Here is a 13,854-nt window from a genome sequence, read left to right as displayed (position 1 = left end):
CCTCTTCTCCATGTCCCTGCCAACCCTGATCCTTTATCTTTGCTAACAGAAGGACTTTTATCTCAAAAGCCGTAGCATCTAGCAGAACACGACACACACAGTAAGCACTAGGGATTGAATTGTGTCCCCTCCAAAATCTGTAAGTTGAAGTTCTCACCCCAGCACCTTCAAATGTGACCTTATTTGGAAATAGGGTCATTACAGATGTAATTAGCTAAGATGAGGTCATACTGGAGTCAGTGGGCCCCTACTCCAATATGACAGGTGTCCTTATAACAAGGGGAAATGTGGACACAAAGCCAGGCACCCACACAGGGGGAGCACCATGTGAAGATGAAGGCAGCAATCAGAGCAAGGAAGCCAAAGATCACCCTCAAACCAGGAAGCTAACAGACAGGCCTGGAACAGGCCCTTCTTCACGGCCCTCAGAAGGAACCAATCCTGCTGGCTCCTTGATCTCTGACTTCCAGCCTCCAAAACTGTGAGATGATACATTTCTATTGTCTAAGCCACCCAGTCTGTGGTATGTTGTTACAGCAGCCCCAGCGAACTACTACAGTGAATATGCAATCAGTGAGGGAGGCAGGCTGGGGTGTGAGGGAATTCCAGTTCCATTTCACGCAGTGCGTATTTGCTGCGTGCCGCACACTACAGAAGAAGGAGGAAAGGAGGTAGGAGCGGAAGGAATTGAGAAACAGGGCTGAGTGTGGGCTAAGCGGCGAGAGAGGGTGGGGTCTGGGCTTAAGCAGCCCCCTAATCCCTTCCTAGTCCCGTGACTTGCTTTCCCCAGTTCCTTCAGGCAACCAATCCCCTGCTCCTATTCTCTCCAACTGCCTCACACCTGTCGCACACTAGTCACATAACGTCTTATGAAATCAAAGTTAAGATATAATGACTGATATGTTTCAAAGTGTTAGCCCTTCCACAATACTCACACTTACGCTTTCCGGAAGGAACTTCTGGGGGAAACATCGGGCATCAGCATGAATCGGAGACTTGGGACAAAAGCGCCATACTCTTCACTGGGTCCCAGGAAACCGTCCACCCTGATGGCCAGCCGCCTCTGCACCTCTAGGGGAGTGAAGCCCTGGTCACCTCCCCATGCTGAAGTCACATGAGGCACAGGAACAAATGGCTTCATTCACTGCCCAAACATCCACTGGGTACCTTTTCTGGGGCTGGCCCATAGTAGCTACTGGACACCCCAAGATGAATAAGAAAGACATAGCTCCTTCCCTCAAGGGGCGCAAAGCCTGGTGGAATCGTTTTAAATGAGTGAGATTAGTGTCATAACATGGGCAGGATGCAGGGACAACGGGGCATTTTACAGACCAGCACTGTCCAAGACAGCAGTCACAAGCCACATGCAGCTACTGAGCACTTGATGTACTGCCTGTCCCAATGGAGATGTGCTGTAGGTATCAAATACACATCAGATTTCAAAGACTTAGCATGAAAACACAAACATAAAATATACTAATACATTTTTTATTGACTAAATATGGAAATAATCATTTTTAGGTACACTGGGTTAAATTTTAAATATTATTAAACTTAATTTCACCTGTCTTCTTTTTCCTTTTCAAAATGTGGCTACCAAAAAATTTCAAATGACATATGTGACTTATATTATATTGCTAGTGGGCAGCACCATTCTAGAAGGACATTTCACCGGAGCTTGGAGGGGAAAGAAAAAAATCAGAGCTTCCTGGAGGAGGTTTCTTGCATGCAAATAAAAAAATCAGCATTGACTGGGCATCTTGCCATGTGCCTGGGATTCTGTATATTTTCTAATTTAATCCTTAATAACTGAACCACAAGCATTTTATTCCTGTTTTATAAACAAGGTCTCCAGTGCTCAAAAAGGTTCAGCCATGTGCCTCAGATCTCAGAGTAACTAGTGTGAAGATGGGGTGGAAACTCTCCCGAGATCTGCGTGGTCCATCAGACCCACAGACTCCACTGGGAAAGGAAGATGCATGCTGCCGCCACCCTCTCACCCCCGATGTCTCTCCTACGGTCAGTTTCAGAACAAGCCAGGGCTTTGTTTCAGTTCTATCCATTCTGACAAGGTTAAAATCCAATTGGCTGAGAAGCTACTTGAGTTGTGTCATTTACAGAAAAATCAAATTATGTGGAGGCCTCTTATAATTGAGGGTAATTCAGGAAATAACTTTCTGAAAATGGCAGATTGTACAGCTGTGTTACCATGTGGAAACTGCCGAGGTCATTTGGTCACTTGAATGCCCTTCTCCAGTTTAAATATGTCAGATTATATTCATACAGACTGACACAGAAAAACTCCATTAGAGCATTGAGCTTACTATCCAGATTTGAATATATTGGATCAAATTAGGCTTGATCCTGAAACCTCTGTTTCTGAAGCAGAACAACTGCCTATAAAGAAAGCTTGAGTTAAATGTGGACGAATCAATGAGATCAATGCTTTCACATGAACACAACCCAGAGATGAGGTCTTATTTAGCAACCATTACAGAGTACCTAACTAGGCATTGGGAGTATAACAGACATGCCCACAGAAGACTTTTAAAATATGAAAGCTGCATCTGCACATTTTATAGAATAAAGGTTGAGTGAACATATATGTAACACATACCACAGACACACACACACACACACACACACACACACACACACACACACACACACACACAGAGGCACTCATGGCTTTATAAATCAGTGCGTCAAGCTTGCTGATCAATACAGACTCTGCTAGAAACAAATAAATCAAAATTGTTAGGAAGTACTCACAATGAAGATAGCTAGTAGCTTCCAGGCAAGAGGAAATCATCCATCTTATTATTATTCAACAAAATTCCAAATGTGCATGTGCAAAATGTCTGAGCCTATATTACAGAGCACAGCAAGGGCCCAGACCCCTAAGAAAATGCCCAGGTTACCTAACTCCATCCAGAAAATGAATGGCTACTGATTAACACCAACTCTGACCTTGCCACTGTCCTAGGTGCTTTTCATACAGAATTCTGAATCTCACAAACCTGCAAGACTGGTATCAAGCTCTGATTTTACAGATAACCAAGGCTTGAACAGGGTAAGTGACTGCCCCAGGTCATACAGCTGGGCTGGGACTCCCCAGTTCCTTCAGGCATCCAATCCTTTCCTCTAAACCCAAATTGTGTTTGACTGTCATGTCCCCTGGCTTGACTGGAAATCCTTCCTGGCTTGACTGGAAATCTGACTGGGAAGCTTCCCTGGTTCAAGAATAATGAATCCACTAGCCACAGTGAAAGAGGTAGTTCACTGTCCGTGGTTTTTTGCAATGGGCCTCGCTAGTCTATTGTAATTTGCAATTAATAATGAAGCATTCTCCCAAGTACTGTGTGTAAGATCAGGTTAATGTAATATTTCATCTTTGCCAGCCAGCTGCCAGGCTGGCAGTAAGCATTATCTTTGCATAAGGAGTCGGTCTACAACCAAATCAATTAATCCCTCTTTGGCTGGTAGACAGATGCTGAGTCAAAGAAGATAATTAGACGAACTCGTCATTTACCAGGTGGTTGGTAAATAAGGGATTAATTGACCAGAGTTGGGGACAGTACAAAGTCTGCTCTTTCATGCCTTCCCCAGCATATGTGACCACTCAGCATCGTTCTTCCTGAATAGCATTCAAAAGGCAGAGGGCCCTTCTCATTCCATGCTCATTTCTATGATTGTAACTGATCCTTCAGAAATGTCCATCTGACGCCTGGCCTGGAGCAAGTCTGAGTTTTCCTTCTTACTGGCTCAAGACAGAAGTGGCTCAAGGGTCCCTTTCACAGGGCTCCTCCCAATACTTTGGCTGAAGACTTGGCATCTCGGATTGGCCCACATGCTACTGGCTGGATGTCTAGCACTATAGGCATCGAACCCACAAACCTCCAAATGGAGTAGATGAGGGACAATGATCTCTGTGTCCTAGTGGAAAACACAGACACAGAGCCTTCATATAGAAAGACAGTAGAAACTACGTAGAGTGAACAACCTCAGCATGTATGCTTTGAGTTGCTTTTCACATAATGGGTTATGTCCTGCATTGTGACTCTCTGGGGTTGGTGTCATGTGGGTGGTAAAAAGAGTTTACCAAGGGAATTGTAGGTAAAGAAAGGCAGATTTATTAGAAAAAGTATGAAAACACATTGCAAGGGAGCAATGGGCAGGTCAGCAAGAGAGGAACTGACTGCAAGTAGACAAAGGCTTGCTGGGGATTTTATAGGATGGTGCTTGTGCCGTGTGCTCAAGAGGGCTTTGTGCAGGACTGATAGTGCCAAGGTTTTAGTGAACTAACTTGCATTTTTCTATCAGCCGAGGGTCTGGTGATAGGTGGGTGCAGGAAGATGGGGAGTTATTTGCACAGGAGGACTATGTGTCCTGGAATGTGAAGAAAGGCAGATACATAGCTTATCTGCTTTCTCTTTTTGTTTTCCCTTGGTCCTGCCAGCCTGCTTCTCTCTCCCTAAATTCGCAAGTTATAGGTCATCTTAGAATCAAAGGCTTTTAGTACCAGGGAGTAGGGGGTGCTTAAAGACCCTTCAACTCAGGGCTTCTGAACCCTGGCTACCCATTAGAATCACTTAGGGAGCTTTGAAAAATATCAACACCCCAGCCCTAACCCAGACCAATAAAATCAGAATCGCCAGCAGTGAGGCCTGCGCACTGGTCATTTCCCAAAAGCTCCCAGAGTGGTCCTAATATGAAGACCACAGGCTTGATAAACACTGATCCAGTCTAACCCCTTCATTTTATAGATGACAATGCTGAGGCCTGGAAGGGGACATTACCTGCCCTGGAGAAGCCCCACAGTTAGCAAGCGGCCAAAGGAGAAGCTAGGTTATAAGATGCACGCCAGTTTTTGTGGGCTCCTCGTGACCTCCAACCCTGCCAATAGGTAAAAACCAGATGGATTGGAAATGACCAGAATGGCAGACATGACCTGATCCACATGCTACCAACCTGCCACTCCTGCCCCCTCTCCGATCCGCCCCTGGCATCACCTTCACTCCAGCCACAAACCCCTCACAGTTCTCTGAATGCGCCATGGACTGTCTCCCTGTGGCCTCGCTGATGTTCCCCGTTCTGTGATGCTGTCTCTCTTCTTTAACATGGGGAAGTGTGCTGTGTCTTCAGAGACCGGACTCAAATCCTGTATAAAGGCCCCCACTGCGCACCGCCCCTCAGAGGCTAACCACTCACTCCTGATTCTCTCATAACTTTGCAAAAAGCTTCTATTATATACCGCTTATCAGGTTACATGACCTAGGTGCCTCTCCTCCCCACGCCCTTTTCCTCTGTTTATTCTACAAGTGTCCATAGAAGGAACACATTTTGTCAAGCATTGCTGAAAAAGCTATTTAGGTTGGGGCTAAGAGAGTCCCCCGCAACTGCCCCAACAACCTTTGGACTATTACAAGCTTTTATCAATCTAAAACATTCAATGAAATCAATGAGCCCAGCTTCCAAATGTCACCAAGATGCGATGCTCTATCCCACGGCAGAATTCTCAGGGGTGACTCCTTCTCTGACAGCTCCAGCCAGGAGTCAAAGGCCTGTCCTTCACTGGGCTATCTATCAGGTTCACTAAGCAAAAAATAAATCTGCAATTTTTATTTATATATTTATTTATTTATTTATTTTTATTTTTTGAGACAGAGTCTCACTCTATCACCCAGGCTGGAGTGTAGGGGCATGATCTTGGCTCACTGCAACCTCCGCCTCCCAGGTTTTCCTGCCTCAGCCTCCCGAGTAGCTGAGATTACAGGCACGAGCCACCATGCCGGGCGAATTTTTGTATTTTTGGTAGAGACGACATTTCACTATGTTGCCCAGGCTGGTTTAGAACTCCTGATCTCAGGTGATCTGCCCACCTCAGCCTCCCAAAGTGTTGGATTACAGGCGTGAGCCACTGTGCCCAGCCTGTAATTGTTTACAGCTATTGTCCATTCCATGCCATTCCAGAAGTCCTGGCCCCTGCTTTTGTGAATTTTGCAACTGGTCCTGAGCATACCTCAGGTCTCGCTTGAGTCACTGGGAAAGAGAATCTCAAGGAAGCATGTTTTCACCCGGGAAAAATAAAGCACCAGCCTCTCCTCATCCTGCAACCTAGCCAGGCTTCATAGGCCTGGCTCTCCCATTTAGGAGCTGTGTGATTGGCACATTGCTCAACCCTCTGAGCCTCAGTTAACTTAACTAAAAAACGGGGTTACTGGAGACCTTCCTCTTCGGGTTGTTGTAAAGATTCCATGAGACGTGTGAAAAATATGTAGAATGGTCACTGGCATGTATTATACATTTAGTAAATAGTAATTTGTCTTCCTTTTTCTCTCTCATCCTTCTTTCCTTCCGACCTTCCTTCTCCCTCCTCATCCTCCTCCTCATCCTGCTTCCTGGAGTCTAACTGATGGAGAAGTAAGTTTACTTTAGCACCCTGAAGACTTGACCAATGAGGCGCCACCATGTAACAGAGATTTCAGTGGGGGCCTCCAAGATCTTGTCATTCTCAGTTTTCCTGGAGCCATTCCCCCCCCCGCCCCCCGCCCCAGAGAGTTCCCCAGAATTCCTCTAAATCCCTTGGACACTGTTTGGTCCTCAGAGACCCCTAGAACAATTGGATCTGCTGTGCCCTATGCAAACCTCCTAGACTCAGCGCTTATAAATTCACGGACAGCCCTGTGCTGTGAGTCTCTCCCCTTGCAACATAGTAATCACAGAGCAAGTGTAAATGCTAAAGAAAGAACCAAGCAGGGCAGGGCTGAACCACATGATGATGTTGTGAAGATTTCAGGGAACCCACGAGAGGACCAGGAGGTGGGCGGGGCAGAAGGACAAGCTGTCTCGCCCTAGCTGGCATTTAGGGGAAATTAGGCCCTATTAATGGCTGACAATGCAGCTCTGCCCTGTGCCTCTGAACTGAGCCAGAGCGGCCCGCAGATGTGCTCGGCCCACAAATATGCAGTTGACACCTCCTGAACTTTCGGTGACTTGATTCCAGCTGATCTGATCGGCAATTACATTTTATTTTGGGGCCAAGGAAACAGCAGAGAACCAGGAAAATTATAAGACATCAGAGTACAGTTTTTCTAAGAATATCAACTCCAAACTTTTTTTTTTATTTTTTATTTTTTTGAGACGGAGTCTGGCTCTTTCGCCCAGGCTGGACTGCAGTGGCGCAATCTCCGCCCACTGCAAGCTCCGCCTCCCGGGCTCACGCCATTCTCCTGCCTCAGCCTCCGGAGAAGCTGGGACTGTAGGCGCCCGCCACCACGCCCATAGAATTTTTTGTATTTTTAGTGGAGGCGGGGTTTCGCCGTGTTAGCCAGGATGGTCTCGATCTCCTGACCCCGTTGTTGTTTTATTGGTTAGGGGTTTGCAAGGCACTAAAATAAGAAATCTTGGACACTAAAATAAAAAACTCTGTACACTCAAATCAGATTATAGCCAATTTCCCCATATTATAGCCAGTTTTCCCAGATTATAGCCAAAATTTCCCAATTTTCCCAACCCTTTGTCCAGTGAAAATCTGGGTTTGATTTTTTTTTTTTTTTTTTTTTTGGAGAGGGGATGGGGTAACTCCCACCAAGAGAACTTTGCTAGTAACAGCAAGTACAGACAGCATAGAGGTAAAGAAATTTGGATTTGTAGTTTGTTTTTGGGTTGAATTTCACTCTGTTTATTACTAGTTTTGTGGCCTTGGATAAGTTATATGAAGTTATTGGCCTCAGTTCCCCCATCCATAAAATGGGGATATAAAACCTAGCTTGGGGCTTATTATTACAAGGATTAGATAAGATGTTTATAAGCATCTAGATAGTATCTGGCCTATGGTACTGGTAACAGAGTAACTAAGATGACATCTTCTTGTCATAATGTTGGTTTCTTATCACCTAAAATAAACAGTTCCTGTTTTCACCATTATATATCAAGCCCAAATAAGCAGTCAGTACAAAAAACGGAAACACCAGCTCGGGGAGCAGTTTGGTTTCTAGCAACTAGAGGGTTTGTCATCTGCCTCAGTGATAACATCATTCCGGGCTCAGCAGCTTCAACAGCTTGGCTGGTAGGGAAATACAAGAAACTGCAACTGAGCCCAATCAGGTGCAAAGTTTGTAAATGGCTCATGGACACAAAACCAACTAAACTCAGTAGAAGCTCTCACTCCCTTCTCTCCTCAACTCCCTGGCCCACAGCAGCCCAAATGATCACCAAGACAGTTTCTCTGAAAAGTGCCACTTACTGAACTTGCGTGGGATGGAACATAATTGCAGCTTGTAAAGGAAACCAGCCTAAGAAAAAACATCCCGAGGAAACGAGGTGATTTTCCTGCAGCTACATTTCCCTGGTTGCTGGCTAATGGGGCCAGACAACTTGCCCAAGACGTCCTTGAGGGAGGATGGTGACTCATCCACCTACGCCCTCCCCAATGCCTCCCAGAGCTGCTCTCCAGCCCTAGTTTCCCTCCCAAGTCCCAGGCTACTGCTCAATAGGCCTGTCATCCAGACAATGCTCAGAACACTACCGGAAGGAAGAGAGGGCCCCTACCCAGGACAGGCATCTCTTCTATGACTGGTTTACAATGGGACCAAGCAGAGTCTGCCTCGCCAGTCAAATCATTCCCCTCAACTCTGGGCCCAGAGTTACCAGCCACAAAAGGCTAAGCACACACCCTCTCCACCCTTTTGTGCCCAGCGCCTAGTGCTAAGCTGCTAAGCTACTAAGCTATATGTTCCTAGGTACATGTAACAGCACATGAAGAAATGAATGAAAAAAAGGAGTGAATGAACCCATGAAGGAGCAAACTCCACAGGAAGCTCCAAGCAAGACACATCACCACATGCAACACTGCAAGGCAGGTATTGCTCATGCCACATTATAAATCAAGGAAAGAAATCTCAGAGAGGTTAAGTAAACACCCCATAGTCACATAGCTAAGAAATGATGAAACTAGGCTTTGAACCCAGGTCTGACTCCTAAGTCAAGGCTTCTGATATGGAAGCCACCCTCCTGACCACAAAAATGACAAATCATACTGACAGAGCCCCTGACACATCAGAATTATTTCATCCTCCCAACATTCCAGGGAGAGTTTTAGGTAGGAAAACTGACCCCTAAAGATAACTCATCATATATTCAGGGTTGCACAACTAGTTAGAGATGAAGCCGGGATTTGAACCTGGACTTTCATGTTTTGAATCACAAGTATTTGAGAGCCCTGTGTTAGGTACTGAGGAGCCAACAGTGAACAGGACAGACGCAGTCCATGGACCTTCCATCCACAGGGGCGGTGACTTCAGATATAGCTTTTCCCATGACACCATATGTTACCCATAAAATTTGCAGCAGTGTTTCAGTAGTTTTGTTTTGAAGGAGAAAATCATCTGAGAACAGAGGATATCAACAAAAAGAAGGGAATGGTTTGCATCTGAGGAGCCTGTGTTGTTTTTGACACGGGTTACCAGAAATCCTATCCTTTGTTGAAGCACAGTTCTGCCTCTTCCTTAGGACAGGGTGTGTGTGGACAGGCTGGGAGACCTGCCTATAATATGGAGATTTTTTGGGCACCAAAGGGAACCCAACTATCAAATTCCCCACTGAGTCACCACCGAACCCAGTACAGGAAGCCTCAGGCAATACTGACTTGGCAATTAATGGGCTAATCTGGCCAAGTCACACCTCAAGACAGGGCATGAGTTAACCTAATTAGGCCACCCATGATGCATAAATTCAGGAGTCCATTTTTCCAGAAGGGAGTGCAGGTGAGAGATTGGGAAGGGGGGTAGGGGGCATCAGATAGTTCTCAAGTGCATCCCTTTACAAGAGTTCTAAAAATTCGACACCTTTGAGGCCCGTGCATTATCTTCCTCCACCAGGTACCTTGGTCCAAAGAAGTATTAAATTTAGTCAGAGACTGTAGCCAAAGCAGTACATTTTTCCCTCTTTCTCTACGGCTATCGAAGGTCCACTGATGCTGCTGCTAGTTGTTCACTTACCAGTTCTGGGCATCAAGTGCTAATTAATGTTCCTACAAAAGGATCAGCCCCAGAGTCTCCACATCAAGACCCACACACACCACTGAGGCTGTTGCCATGGCAACCAGGCCTCCTAACTTTGCACTAGCTTTCCACAGAAGACACTTTTCCTTGGTTGGAGCTTTTCTTTTGCTCAAAGAGGAGCTCTTTTCATAATTGATGGCACAGAGGCCACGTTTGCTGCCTCATTAAACTAACGAGTTAGATTTACTGAGGCAGTCACTTAGCAAAAGGTCCCCGCTCGCAAGGGAGTTTGCCAAACTGGCACAGTGAGGTGGGGCATCACTGGGCTTTAATATGTGGGATGTGGGAATGGGTGTCAAGTGTACCCATGTGCAACTCTTCCTTTGGGGATACCAAAGGGAAGACTGCACAGCTTCGGTGGACCTTTAATTCCCGAGTCCCATTGCTCGAACTTGAGACTGTTAATCTCAGGAGTTCAAACCCTGGGCAGGTCTGAATGCTTAGCACTAAACCTAGGCATTTCTCTAATTCTAAACATCCCCTGCTAGATTTTTCAGAGATGCTACATAGAAAAAGGGTGACGGAGAAAGCAACCACTGAAGGTAAAATGCCAGGCTGTGAAAGGAAGTTTTAAATCCCCCAAAGACCACAATTTTAGAGTTTTTAGTATCCATACCTACAAAAAAAAAAAATTCACATGCTGACAGAGTGCTTGAAGCTTACCTGGATTGGGTTGTAGAGTTCCTGCAGGGGGCTTCGGGACCCCTTCCGGCAGCAGATGTCCACACCAAAGGGATTCCTCCGCATGACTGAGGAAAGAAAGTGAAGGCTCATCAGAAATGAGCAACAAAGATTTGTTGTCTGTCAAAGAAAAAGGCACAGAGTAGGGAAGAAGAAACAGGCAGGAAAGAAAGAGAAAACCAGCTTCTAGCAAAGGAAGATTTCCACACTGTCCCTTCTCCAACAGCACAGCTGCTGTCTGTCTTCCCAACATTCAGGCATCTCCACACCCAGAAGGATCTAGATCATGCTAAAAAGTCTCCCCAGCAAGTGTTTTAAGAAAACAGGACAGGCATCTAAAGCTCATTGAAATGAAACCACTTACAAAAGATGGCGTAATGGCTGCTTCAAGACAGCAAGTTCTACCCAGCAGCAGGCTTGGTAACACATTTTAAGATTCCGCAGACTTCTCCAGCAACAGTCAATGACCTTTCATTCCTTGTCCCTGAAAGCTGGGCTTCTGAGAATGGGCAGGTCCTTCCCCAGGAGGCTCCTCCCACTGGACAGGTCAGAGGCCCAGCCTCCCCAAAACCTCTCCTAAATTATGTTACTTTTAGTGAAAATATCAGCATGAAGCAGAAAAGACAAGAGTTTATGATTCCAGACAGAGATGGTACTTACAATTAATAAAAGAGGGGGAATAAGTGAACTCCTCAAACCCCACCAACATTGAAGCCACCAAGAGCTCTTTTTAAATGGCAATGAATTCTTTCTTTTTCATTTTTCTTGTTCACTCTGTGCAGCCCCTCATGCATTATGTAACGCATAGTCATGGGCTTGATCATTATTTGTTGGAGGGAGGAGGAAGGAGGAAGGGAGGGATGAAATTGGGAGAGAGGGAAGGAAGGAAGGAAAAAAGGAAGGTAGGAGGGAAGGAAAGAGAGCAGTAGAGAGGGAGAGAAGGAAGGAGGGAAGGAGGAAAGGAGAAGGAAAGGGAGGGGAGCAAGCGAAGGAAGGAAGGGAAGGGAAGAAGGAGAGAGGAAAAGAGGGAGGAAAGGAAGGAGGAAAGGAAAAAAGGAAGCCGAGAAGGAGGAAGGAGGGAAGAAGGGAGGGAAGGAAGAAAGGAAAGAAGGAGAGAGGGAAAAAAGAGAGATGGGGGAAGAATAAATGGGGCTTTCTTCTCAAGTACGAGGCAGTTTTCTTATGGTTTGAGGTGCAACAGTGGCATGAGTGGAACAAGGAAAACTAGATCCTTTCATGAGCCTAAAGAATTCACCTGCTCCACAGAGGCAATGAATGGACAGCAGGACATTCCCTGGAACAGATAGCCTGGGTTTCAATACTGGCTCTACCACTACCAGCTGTGTGACCTTAAGGAAACTACCTAACCTCTCTGTGTCTCTGCTTCTTTGTCTGTAAAATGGGAATGACAGGGGCATCTAACTTCCTGGGTTGGATGTGAAGATTAAATGAGTAACTACTATGTGCAGAATGCTTAAAACTGTGCCTGGCCAAAAGCCACAGTTTAAAAGTGTTGGTGACAAATTTCAGAAGCTATTTTAGATCCCCCTGGGAGGAAGGCGGGAACTTCTCTATTTGTGGCTATCAAGGGGACTGATGAGGAGTGACCAGACCTCAAGCAGGGTGCAGCTCAAATGACTGGGAGGGCTGGCTGCAGGGGGTTAGCCCAGGGACCTCTGCTTAGAAGTCAATCTGAGGTCAGGAAAGGGAGGAGAGTCATCCAAAAGCAGCTGATGACATCTGGAAGGTCTCCGGAGGAAAAACTACTGCTCAGGTGAGCCTCCGTTGACTTGTCACTTTGAGCCACGTGGAAACTCTGAAAGTCAATCATCAATGCCCAGAAACAAGATGCCATGTTTTCTCTTTCCTTTTCCTTGACTTCCTAGGGCAGGGGTCAGCAAAATTTTCTGTAAGGGGCCAAACAGTATTTAGGCTTTGCACCCTGCAGTCTCTGTCATAACTCTTCCGCAGGGCCACTGTGGTGTGAAATCCTCCCCAAACGATACAGAAATGAATGGGTGTGGCTGGGTGCCAACAAAACTTCACTGATGAACAGGGAAATCTGGGAAAATGTCATCTAATTTTCATGTGTCAGAAAATATTATTCTTCTTTTGAGTTTTTTCCACCAATGAACAAAAATGGGCAGTGGGCCAGATTTGGCCCTTGGGCTAGAGTTTGCCAACCCTTGCCCTAGAGAACTGCCCCAGGTCTTCTCGGGGTCAGTAGTACAAGCTCCAAACATAGCTACATGCCCACAGTCTTCCCTGGGGAGGAGGGAATCGCAGGCAAATGTCAATACATTAAAGCCATTAGAATTTGATCAGGCTGTACAGAGAAACACTGGTTCTTTGTTCCTCCAGTTGCCCCAAGAAGACGGAAAAAAATTCTATGTTGTGTTTTTCTTTAATTTATGACTTCATTTTTCATTTCCACCAAAAAGGAGGTAAACTGTGAAATGCACGCAAGTTGCCCTTGGTGCACAATGACATAGCAACACTTCGGAGAAGTAAAAACAGCCATAAAACTCGTAAAATTATGCCCATGCCGGGCAAGATTAAATTCTCCCTATGGCGGCAGACGGGCTCATCGAGGCCCATGGCTCCGGGACCGCGCGGTGAAAAGCCTACCATGGAATCCATTAAAAGTCTGCTTTTATGGGGGGCAGTATTATTTAATTGGTTTATTTGTCTAATACAAGGCCTTTAAAATGCTTTGACCGTGTGGGGCCTGAACCTTGGGTTCTTTGCCCACAGCCATCAGCCCTGCCCGTGACTTCACTGGGTGCCATGGGAACCGGCCTTGGCTCCCCAGACCACAAAAGCTAAAGGGGCCTTGTGTGCCTTTTATGGGAATGATAACAACCCCACCGTTTCTGGAGTGCTCGCTATGCAACAGGCAGTCGGTGCAGTGTGATCCTTCCCACGGTAAAGGAAGTACCTGCATTTTACAGATAACCCCTCCGCGCCTCCCTTAGCTGCAGGCACTTGGCCATGGTCAAGGTCATGTGAGTGGAAAGGAGCCAAGCTGAGCCTCGAGACTGACAGGTGCTGCCCAACCTGTGAGGTGAGGGTCACCTCCCAACTCAGCTAGGCCAGCTGGCCACGAGGA

The 13,854-nt window shown here is 46.2% G+C and overlaps 1 protein-coding gene across 4 annotated transcripts in view, besides 4 other annotated features; it reads right to left on the bottom strand.

Annotated features, from left to right (window-relative positions):
• Window positions 1–13,854, bottom strand: part of CHST11 (carbohydrate sulfotransferase 11) — a 305,067-nt gene that overhangs the window by 149,296 nt on the left and 141,917 nt on the right. For 2 of the 4 annotated variants that reach the window (NM_018413.6, NM_001173982.2), the window contains exon 2: window positions 10,728–10,813. The exons of the other annotated variants lie outside the window; for them this stretch is intronic. In NM_018413.6, the coding sequence (NP_060883.1) occupies window positions 10,728–10,813 (86 nt within the window). The remainder of the gene's footprint in view (window positions 1–10,727; window positions 10,814–13,854) is intronic. 4 annotated transcript variants of the gene reach the window in all.
• Window positions 6,365–6,952: an enhancer, noted in NCBI's record as "H3K27ac-H3K4me1 hESC enhancer chr12:104999545-105000132 (GRCh37/hg19 assembly coordinates)". NCBI's record gives its function as "activates a minimal SCP1, AML or CMV promoter by ChIP-STARR-seq in naive H9 embryonic stem cells {active_cell/tissue: H9 hESC(naive)}" and the evidence as "EXISTENCE:reporter gene assay evidence [ECO:0000049][PMID:30033119]".
• Window positions 6,953–7,540: an enhancer, noted in NCBI's record as "H3K27ac-H3K4me1 hESC enhancer chr12:104998957-104999544 (GRCh37/hg19 assembly coordinates)". NCBI's record gives its function as "activates a minimal SCP1, AML or CMV promoter by ChIP-STARR-seq in naive H9 embryonic stem cells {active_cell/tissue: H9 hESC(naive)}" and the evidence as "EXISTENCE:reporter gene assay evidence [ECO:0000049][PMID:30033119]".
• Window positions 7,962–8,588: an enhancer, noted in NCBI's record as "H3K27ac hESC enhancer chr12:104997909-104998535 (GRCh37/hg19 assembly coordinates)". NCBI's record gives its function as "activates a minimal SCP1, AML or CMV promoter by ChIP-STARR-seq in naive H9 embryonic stem cells {active_cell/tissue: H9 hESC(naive)}" and the evidence as "EXISTENCE:reporter gene assay evidence [ECO:0000049][PMID:30033119]".
• Window positions 8,589–9,216: an enhancer, noted in NCBI's record as "H3K27ac hESC enhancer chr12:104997281-104997908 (GRCh37/hg19 assembly coordinates)". NCBI's record gives its function as "activates a minimal SCP1, AML or CMV promoter by ChIP-STARR-seq in naive H9 embryonic stem cells {active_cell/tissue: H9 hESC(naive)}" and the evidence as "EXISTENCE:reporter gene assay evidence [ECO:0000049][PMID:30033119]".

Source organism: Homo sapiens, chromosome 12, assembly GCF_000001405.40.
Source record: "Homo sapiens chromosome 12, GRCh38.p14 Primary Assembly".
NCBI lineage: Eukaryota > Metazoa > Chordata > Mammalia > Primates > Hominidae > Homo > Homo sapiens.
The sequence above is the reverse complement of the archived record's forward strand: the minus strand, read 5'-3'. Positions and strand labels throughout refer to the sequence as shown.